An 11,434-nucleotide genomic window follows, 5' to 3' on the forward strand; every position below is an offset into this window, starting at 1 on the left:
CAGGCTGCCACAGCTGGGACTGGGCAGGGAGCTAGCACTACCCCTTTAGCTGGGGCTAAGAAGTGCATGAGGCCTGGATGGTAGCAGCCAGTGCCATAAAATGAGTATTGCACTGCCAGGACCTAAAATGAAGTCATGAAGAGGGCATGAGTTGCCACTGGGACTTGATCATGAGCTGAGTGTGGGCTCCTGCAGTCTGGGCAAGAAGTTGAGTCTCACTGGGACTGAGCTGTGAAGGGGAGAACATGCATTCTCCACACCATGGCCCAGGCTGTGACTACCGAGGGTAGCCCATCATCTCTGGGCATTATCCCCAACACAGAGGCCACCACCCTCACCCAATGACTCTCCCTGGGGCATGAGAAATACCCTTACCCCCTGCCCACCGTGGCTGGTGAGTACTCTCAAAATAGGGGGCCTGAGCACAAGACTGTCCAGCCGAGTTTGCTCCCCATTCCAAGACAGATCACATAATCTAGAGACCTGAGTATTGCACAAGCCAAACCACCACCTTGGGCACGTGAGCATTCCTCCAAGGGTCCTGAGATTGGGCGTAAACTTCACGCTGCTACCACCTCACCTGGAAACTATCTGTAAGAACCACCCGCGGGCCTGGAGACTTGCCCACCCAGAACATTGCAGCCAGTGCCAACATCAATGCACACCACGTGAGACCCAGAGAATCTTCCTGCCATTGCTACTCCCATTCCCCATGCAACACCAGTTGCCCATAGGACGGAGAACTCACCCAACAATCTCGTCCACCACTGCCACGACAGGAATCCTAGCAAGCCATCTGGAGCTCCAAAAATCAACCCATTAGTAACTGCCAGCACAGGTGCCAGTGTGCACCACCCTGGGGCACAAGATAGGCATGCTAAGCCCACCACTGTCTACACTGGGGCCGGAAGACTGGCCCAACTGGCATTCAAGTCCCCAGCACAATACCATCACAGCCTCCATAAACAAACGTGCCCTAACCCACTGAGGAAATCACAGATACCACTAATGCTGTTTACGGCCAAATTGATCATAAAGAGACTACACTACTGTATGCCCCCAGGAGCAAAGCCAAAGTAGCCAATCCAGCCAAAAACCATAGATGCATCTTCAAAAATTCCTCCTCATCAAAAGTAAATTAAAAAAATAGAAAGGAGTGACTGTTACACCAGATGTACAGATGTCAATGGAAGGCCACAGAAAACATGAAAAAGCAAGAAAACATGGCATATTTAATAAACACAATAATGCTCCAGGGAAGGATTTTGATTAAAAAAGAATTTTTTGAACCCCAAAGTCAAGAAGTCAAAATATTAATTTTGAAGAAGTTCGGTGAGAGTCAAGAGAATTCTGAAAATAATATGAAGAAATCAAAAAAACCAATTTAGTATATGAATGAGAAACTTATAAAGAGAAAGGTATTTTTTAAGACCCTAATAAAAATTCTGAAACTGAATAACTCATTGAAGAAAAGACAAAATACATTTAAAAGCTTCAAGAGGCCGGGCGCGGTGGCTCACGCCTGTAATCCCAGCACTTTGGGAGGCCGAGGCTGGCAGATCACCTGAGGTCGGGAGTTCGAGACCAGCCTGAACAACATGGAGAAACCCCATCCCTACTAAAAATACAAAATTAGCCAGGCGTGGTGGCACATGCCTCTAATCCCAGCTACTCGGGAGGCTGAGGCAGGAGAATCGCTTGAACCCGGGAGGCGGAGGTTGCAGTGAGCCGGGATCGCACCATTGCACTCCAGCCTGGGCAACAGGAGCGAAACTCTGTCTCGAAAAATGAATGAATGAATGAATGAATGAATAAATAAATAAATAAAAAAGCTTCAAGAATAGACTAGATCAAGTAGAAAGAAGAATCACACAACTTGAAGACAGGTATTATAAAATATTCCAGTCAGGCAAACATTTTAAAAAGAATTAAAATGAATGGTCAAACCCTTGGTGACATTTAGGAAAACATACAGTGACCGAGTTTATAAAGTATTGGTATCCCTGAAGGTAAAAATCAAAGAAAGGATTAGAAAATCTACTAACAAAACAATAGATGAAAACTTTTCAAGTCTAGCAAGAGATTAGAGATTCAGATACAGGAGTCTTAATGATCCTTAGGTGGATACAATGCAAAACTATACACAGCCCATTATAATCAGACTGTCTCAAGTCATAGTTAAAGAGGAAATTCTAGTCTCCTATAAAGCAAGAGAATGACTCATTGAAGAAAATATAGAGATGTACAGACATCAATGGAAGGACACAGGAAACATGAAAAAGCAAGGGAAAAGCATCTAGTCCTCTATAAAGAAAATTTCAAAAAAATAAAGAGAAGAAAAATAAGCAGAAAATTTCTAAGCAGAAACCTCATAGACCAAGACAGAATAGGATAATATATCCAAAGTGCTGAAATAAAAAATAATCTCCCACTAAAGAATATGACACCCAAGAAAATTATCCTTCACAGATGAAGGATAAAGTCACTCCCACACAAAGAAATGCTGAGGGAATTAAGTACCATTAGACCAGCCCTAGAAAAAAGTGCTCAAGGGAGTCCTAAGCCTGGAGGTGAAAGCACAACATTTACCATTATAAAAACACAGGAAAGTACAAAACTCATTGGTAAAACTATCACACAAAAGAGAAAAGGCCCAAATCATACCACTGCCAAACTTCACCAATTCACAATGACAAACTATAAGAGAAAAAAGAAACAAATAATAGATAAGACAACCAGAAAGCAATGAATAATATAACAGAAATAAAGACTAACATATCAATAATAACCTTGAACGCAAATGGCTTAAATTATTTTCTTAAAAGATATAGCTTGGATAAATGGATAAAAACAAACATAATCTAACTACATGTTGGTTACGAGAAACTTACCTTACCAGTAAAGACACATCTAGGATGAAAGTAAAGAAATGGAAAAAAGATTCCACATAAAAGAAAACCAAAAGTAAGCAGTAGTGGCTATACTCATATCAGATAAAACACACTTTAAGTCAAGAACAATAAGAAACAGATGGTCATTATATAATAATAAAGAAATCAATCCAGCAAGAGTATACAAAAATTCTAAATATACATGTACCCAACACTGTAGCACCCAGATTTATAAAGCAATTATTACTAGACCCAAGGAGAGAGATGACTAAATTATAATAACAGCAGGGGACTTTGACACCCCATTCTCGGCATTAGACGGATCATCTAGACAGAAAATCAAAAAAGAAACATTAGATTTAAAGGGAATGTTAGACCAAGTAGACCTGAAAGACATTTACACAACATTCTATCCAACAACTGCAGAGCATACATTCTGTTTTTTTTTTTTTTCCTTTTTCTTTTTTCTTTTTTTTTTTTTCTTTTTTTTACCAAGTTTTCGCTCTTGTCCCCCAGGCTGGAGTACAATGGCGTGATCTTGGCTCACTGCAATCTCTGCCTTCAGGTCCAAGCGATTCTCTTGCCTCAGCCTCCCACGTAGCTGAGATTACAAGCACCCACCACCACGCCCGGCTAATTCTTGTATTTTTAGTAGAGACGGAGTTTCACCATGTTGGCGAGGCTGGTCTCAGACTCCTGACCTCGGGTGATCCACCTGGCTCGGCCTCCCAAAGCGCTGGGATTACAGGCATGAGCGACCGTGCCCGGCCCATACATTCTTTTTATCAGCACACAGAACATTCTTTATGATAGACCACATGTGAGGCCACCAAAAGAGTATGAACAATGTTTTAAATCATAGCAAGTGTATTTTAAGGTAACCATGAAACAAAACTAGAAATCAATACCCAGAGAAACCCTGGAGACTATACAAATACGTGAAAATTAAACAAGATGCTCCTAAATGACTGTTGGGTAGATAAAAACATTAAGATGGAAACAAGGAAGTTTAAGATGGCTGACTAGAGATGACAGATGCAAGTTCTCCCTAGAAAGAAGAACCTAAATTATGAATAGATAATCATACCTCTAATAGAATATCAAAGAGAGAATACTAGAATTCAAAATATAATTTATGAAAAACAAAACCCTAAGCCACAGAAGAAAAAAAAAAAGAAAGAAAAGGAAAGAAAAGAAAAGAAAAGAAAGCTAGAGGCCAATGCAGCTGACATTGGTTAGGAGTCCAGAGGAACTCAGTGTTCAGGGAAAGGGTAAGTTGAAGTATTTTGATAGTCCTCATTCTTGCTGTGAACTGCCAAGATCCTTACAGTGGGAAAGCTCCTCTGTCCTCCCAAATCCTGAAAATAGCATGGACCGCAATTTGGAGACCCCTGAGGGCAGTGCACTGGACTGTGGATTCACACTGGGTTATTATTTACCATTTCCCCAGACCCAAGCAGGTGCTATGCTGTGCTACTGTTGAAGGTGCATCCGTAAGGGAACTGTATCCTCTTCTGGGAACCACAGTCCTTGTGTATCCAAAACCCAGGAGCTCCTGCTCACATTCTCCAGTCCTGCTCAAAGGGCTGCAGTGGCAGAGTGCTGGCTGGACCCAAAGGAGCTGCAGGGTCCCCAGTAACCTAACCTTCAGGGAATGCTACTCCTAGGAGAAATAAGAGTGCAGTACACCAAAAAGGCAACCCCTGAGAGAAAGGAAACCAAAGTGCATGCTTTCCAGGGCCCAAAAGCTTCCTGACTGGGGCTGTGAAAAGTGACTTCATTTTTAGCAGTGGCACAAAATTTGTGCTTGGCTCTCCAAGCAAACAGTGAAATCCCCTTTCATCAGATGAGCAGCCTTAGTGTCATAACCAGGCCTAGAGGAGACCCTTCTTCCCCATGCACACTGTTGAAACCACAAGCACTGCTGCTGTCCCAGGAGGCTGGGGCAGATGTACTGTATGGCATTCCATCTGGGGCTGTGAGGGGCAACTGTGACCCCAATGGCCAGGCTTGTGTAAACAGTGGGTTCCCGCCCTCTCTCTGTGCAGAGATGCAGTACTGCTGCTACAGAGAGCAGGAGAGCCCAAGAGCTGTGTTTGGAGCCATGGAGGGAGACTTCACACTACATCCACTTCCAGCCACCACAGGGGTTTAGTGTGGAGCGGCTGGGCTGATTTCTCCTGTGTTCGCGGGCTACATTGGTGCTTAAAAGCAAACTGTAGTTCCTAACCTATATGAGTACCCCAAATTCTAAGACGGGCGTGAGGGGAAGGCTGATCCCTTTCCTTCCTGCCATGACTATGGCACTGGCACCTCTCCTACCTCCCCATACAGACACCTCAGTGATTGCTCATTGCTCAAGCATTTTACCAGGAGGCCGAAGACTCCCTTGCCACCCCTGTCAAAGCTGTTGCTTGTGCCTGTCATTGGAAAGACTTAGTGCAGGCTTTCTCATTCTGGCATCACTCAGCTTTGCCAATCCCCTCCATGACAGCGGGTGAAACCCAGGCTCTTGTTTGCTCCAGGGCCCAACTGACCAACTGGGACATGGGTGCACTTCTCAGGGCTTACAAAGGTCAAGCATAAAGCATACCACCTCCACTGAAGTTGGCTTTTACCTGCAAGTGACACCTGCTGGTCTGAAGGTCAACTTGCACATCCCATCACCACATCAGCTGACACCTGCGCACAGCACTTAGGAACAAGACGAGCTTCTCGCAACCTCTGCTACCATGATTGCTCATGCAATCCAAGCTACCCAAGAGGGCATGAGCCTGCTCACCATCCTGGTACACCACTATTACAACTGGCATTTGAGAAAACTCCACACTAAAACTATTTATAACCATGGAAAACATAGTGTCTTTGCCACTGAATGCACACAGAAACAAAGCCAAACAGACTTGTTCAGCATACATCATAGTCGCATCCTCAAAAGAAAACAACAACAACAACCACAACAACAACAAAAAACAGGTCCTACCACAACAAAAGTAAATTAAAAAATAAGATGTAACTGTTTATTCAGATGTGAATAAATCAGTGTAATAACAGGGGAGGGTGGATTTTCAAGATGGCTGACTGGGAACATTGAATGCCAGTTTTCCCCAGTAAGAAGACTACAGGTGCTGGAAAATGGACATGATCTGTATGAAAAACTGATGGAAGAGAGCCAGGACCTGTTGGAGCGCACATGGGCAGAAGCTGGAATACAGAAAAATAGAGCAGCAAGAGTTTGGCAGGGAATGACCCTTGAGGAACTTGGAGCCCCACGGAAAGAACGGGTGGGAGTGCTTGTCTAATCTCATCACCCCTTCAGCAACCTGCTGAATGCCAAACTGTTGGGAAGCCCCTCTGCCCTTGTGACCAAGGACAATTCTGTTTTGGGTGACTTGAGAACTTCCCAGGGACAGAAAACTGGATGGCCAGCTGGCACAGGTGTGCTTGCTCTTCCTTCAGGCCTTAAACGAGATGAAGGGCACCATATTGGTTGTGCACCCATGGTAGGCCACTTCCCTTCCTGGGAAATCTCTGCTCTTGATTCACCACACCACCAGATTTCCCACAAACACACCCCACAACCTTCTCTGGCTGGCCAGTCCCCAGGAAGCTGTGTGACCCCTGACAATCTATCCTGTGGAGTGAGCAGCCCCTGAGAGAAGGGGGACAGGGTCCATCATAGCCCACCTTGGGACAAAGGAAGTATGGGCATGGTGTCAATTACTGAAGGGGCATCACCAGCTGCCAGGAACCGTCATAGAGAGAAGGTCATCTTCCAATTCCCTGTCTACTGTTGTGGGTGCAGCACAGGTTCTCCCCACTAGGGGCCAGCATGTATGCACCAGGAGAAAGCACTTCTCATACTTTTAATAGCAGCTTCATTCTTGTTGGAAGGGAGCCTCTGCTGCTTGCACTTGCAAGAAGGTGGGGCCCAACTGCCCCTCACTACACAGAACTACAGCTTCCCAGCAACAGAGGCCAGACAAGCTGCAGAGCTGCCTGCTCAGGACTGGTGAGAGAGGCTCTGCCCTGAGCCCATTTTGGTGGCAGCTGCCACAGAAGCATGTCCTTCAGTCCACAGCCACACTGAGGCCAAGAATCAAAGGACAAAGTTTATACAAGTTGAAGGTCATGAGCCCTGTGACCGGGGTGTGATAGGAAAGCAGATAGCATTCCTTCCTTCTATTGATGAGAAGCTGGTGCACATCCCTTCCCCTAAGACTTCTGTACACCCCCACATGATCTCCCCCCACCACCACACTATCAGGACAGAAGCTTCCAGTCATCATCAGCCTACCTGAGGGTGAGTTAGCTTTTACTTTTAAGTGCCACCTAGCGGACTAGAGCCTAAACTGCACCACCAAATTAAAAGCTTGCTGTCAGAAGGGCTTAGTGCTAGTGCACGAGGCTTCCTGGGACCTCTGCACTCTCAGCCCTGCAAGAGATAATGTGTTGGCCCATATGTCTGATCTATCACGATAAGAAGTGACATCTAAGAAAACCATCCTGCAGAAGCTATACATAACCAAGAAACACACACAGACCGTTGGCCCCCTGAAAGCGCTCAGAATAAAGCCAAACTATTATACACAACATACACCAGTCATACACTCGAGGGAAAAAAGAATTAAGAAAAAAAAACAAAATTACCATCTAAATAATAGCAAATTCAAAAACAAGAAGTGGCAGTTCCCTCAGAAGAGAAGAAATTGGAACAAGAATGCTGGCAGTACCAAAAGACCGTGTCTTGACAAGTTCCAAAGGTCACGCTAGTTGTCTAATAATGAATCCTAACCAAAATGAAAAGTCTGAAATGACAGATAAAGTATTTAAAATATAGACTGCAAGAAAACTCAACAAGATCCAATAGAAAATTTAAATCCAACACAAAGAAATCAGAAAAACAACACAAAGTAAGAAAGACAAAATAGTTATATTTTTAAAAATAAAATGGAAATCCTAGAATTAAACATCTCACTATAGAAATTTCAAAATATATTCAGAATACATTTGGAAGCTTTAATAATAGACTACACACAGCAGAAAAAAATTATTTGACTTTGAAAAACGCCCTTTTGAATTAACTCAGTCAGATAAAAAAATAAAGAAAACATGTTTAAAACAATGAACAAAGTCTTCAAGTTTCAAATATGAAACTATGTAAAACGACCAAACCTATGACTTATTGGCATTACTGAGAGCAAAGGAGAAAAAGTAAGTAACTTGGAAAACACAGCTGAGGGAATAATTTAGGAAATTTTCTCTAATCTTGTTAAACAGGTTGACATCCAGATAGAAGGAACTGAAAGAACACCTGCAAGATACAATGCCAAGATGACTATCACCAAGGCATATAGTCATCAGACTTTACAAGGTCAATGTGGAAGAAAAAATCTTAAAGCAGCTAGAGAAAAAGGGTCAAATTACCTGTAAAGGGAATTCCATCGGATAAATAGTAGACTTCTCAGAGAAACCTTACAAGTAAGAAGAGATAGGGAGCCCAATTCTAGCCTTCTTAAAGGAAAAAAAAAAAGCCAGCCAATAATTTTATAACTTGACAAACTAAGCTTCATAAATGAAGGAGAAATAAAGTCTATCCTAGACAGGCAAATGCTAAGAACATTATTCAGCACCAGACTGGGATTACAAAAATGCTCCGAGGAGTTCTAAACATGGAAAGGACATTACTTGCTACCAGACAACAACACATAAGTACAAATTCACAGATCTCATAAAGCAATTACACAATTGAGAATACAAAGTGAATACTACTATGACAGGAACAGAACCTCGAATGTCAATATTAACCTTAAATGTAAATGAACTTAATGCTCTACATAAAATACATAGATTGACAAATATAATTTAAAAAAGAACACCCAACCATCTGCTTCCTTCAAGGGACCCATCTCTCATGTAACGACACCTACAGGCTCAAAGGAAAGAGATGGAGTAAGATTTACCTGCAAATGAAAAACAAGAAAGAGCAGGGGTCACTATTCTTGTGTCAGATAGAACAGAATTTAGGCCAGCAACATTAAAAAGGACAAAGAAAATCATTACTTAATAATAACGGGTTTGTTTAATACTACAAGAATAAATAACTAACTTAAATATATACGTATTCAATATTGGAGTACACAGATTTATAGAACAATTACGAATAGACCTATGAAATGATGTAGACAACCAAACAATGATAACCCCACTGACAGCAATAGATACGTCAGGGCAGAAAAGAAGCCAACAGTATTTCTAAACTTAAATTTGACATTTGACCAACTAGACCTAAAACATCTATAGAATACTCCACTCTACAATAATAGAATACACGTTTTTCTCATCTGCACAAGAAGGGTACTCATGCCTTCACCACATGCTTGGCCATAAGGCAAGTCTCAGTGAATCAAGAAAAATTGAAATCATACCAAGCATCTTATTAACCACAGTGAAATAAAAATAGAAATCAATTCCAAGAGGAACTCAAAACCATGCAAATACTTGGAAACTAAACAACTTGCTTCTGAAAGACTTTGGGGTAAATAAGGAAAGTAAACAAAAATCTAAAAATTATTTGAAATAAATGAAAATGGAGACACAACATACCATTTGCATTAGTCAGAAAAAAATAAAATACCTAGGAATACACCTAACCAAGGAGGTGAAAAATCTCTGCAAGGAGAACTAAAAAAACACTGTTGAAAGAAACCAGAGACAGCAAAAACAAATGGAAAAACCTTAAATGCACATGGATCGGAAGAATCAATATTGCTAAAATGTCCATTTTGCCCAATGCAACCTACAGAGTCGATGCTATTATTATCAAAGTTACCAAGGTCATTTTTTACAGAATTAGACAAGAACTATTCTAAAATTTATATGGAACAAAAAATGAGCATGATTACATAAGGTGAGGCTAAGCAACAAAACAAAACAAAACAAAGCCAGAGGCATCACACTGCCCAACTTTACACTGTACTACAAGGCTACACTAATCAAAGTAGCATGACACCGGTACAAAAACAGACACGTACACAAATGGAACAGAATAGAGAACCCAAAAATGAAGCTGCAAATGTACAACCAACTGATCTTTGAAAAAGTCAACAAAAATTAACAACGGAGAAAAGACACACTATTCCATGAATGATGCTGGAAAAACTGGCTAACCATATGCAGAAGAAAGAAACTGGATGCCTACCTCTCACTATATATAGAAATTAACTCAAGATGGATTAAAGACCTAAATGTAAGATATCAAATTATATATGAAAAAAAAAAAAAACCTAGGAAACACTGCTCTGGGCAGTGGTTTAGGCCAAGAATTTATAATTATGTTCTAAAAAGCCAAGGTAACAAAAGCAAAAAATGACAATTTGGACCTAATTAAACTAAAGAGCATATTCAGAGCAAAACAAACTATGACTAGATTTTTAAAATAACCTGCAGAATACAAGAAAATATTAAAAGACTATGGATCCCACAAAGGACTAATATCTAGAATCTATAAGGAAATTAATCAAACCAGTAAGAAAATAACACATGATCTCATAAAATGTGGGCAGCAGACATGAGCAGACACTTCTCAAAAAAGACATAAAAGCAGTCAACAGACATGAAAAAATGCTCAGCATCACTAATCATCAGAGAAATGAAAATCAAAACCATACTGAGACATCCTTTCAAACCAGTGAAAATGGCTATTACTGAAAAGTGAAAAAATAGCAGATGTTGGTGAGCCTATGAAGAAAAGGGAATGCTCATACACTGTTGGTGGGAATGTGAATTAGTTCAGTCACTGTGGAAAGCAGTTTTCATATTTCTCCAAGGGCTAAAAGTGGAACAACCCTTCAACCCAGCAATCCCACTACAGCATACATACTCAAAGGAAAATAAATCGTTCTACCAAACAGACACATGCACTCATATGTTTATTGCCAGACTACTCATATAGTGTTGACATAGCGAAGACATGAAATCAACTTATGTGTTCATCAGTGGTAGATTGGATAAAGAAAATGTGGTGTATATACACTGTGGAATACTACACAGCCATTGAAAAAATAAAATCATGTCCTTTGCTGCAACATGCCTGCAGCTGGAGGCCACTATCCTAAGTGAACTAATGCAGAAACAAAAAACCAAATACCACATATTCCCACTTATAAGGAGCATGTAAACACTGGGTACACATGGGCATAAAGATGGGAACAACAGACACTGGGGACTCCAAATGGGGGAAAGGAGAGAAGCGAGCAAGGGTTTAAAAACTACCTAGTGGGTATTATGGTCACTACTTGGGTGACGGGAGCAATAAAAACCCAAATCTCAGTATCATACAATATACCCATGTAGCAAACCTGCACATGACCCCCTGAACTTATTTTAAAAAATAAAAAGGTAGAAAGATCACAAGTAAACATAGCATTATAAATCAAGTGACTAAAACAAAACAAGGACAAACCCAAATCATAGTTAACAGAGGAAAAGAAATAACAAAGATCAAAGCACAACTGAATGAAATAGAGATCAGAAAACAATAC

This window comes from Homo sapiens, chromosome X (genome assembly GCF_000001405.40).
Source record: "Homo sapiens chromosome X, GRCh38.p14 Primary Assembly".
Lineage (NCBI taxonomy): Eukaryota > Metazoa > Chordata > Mammalia > Primates > Hominidae > Homo > Homo sapiens.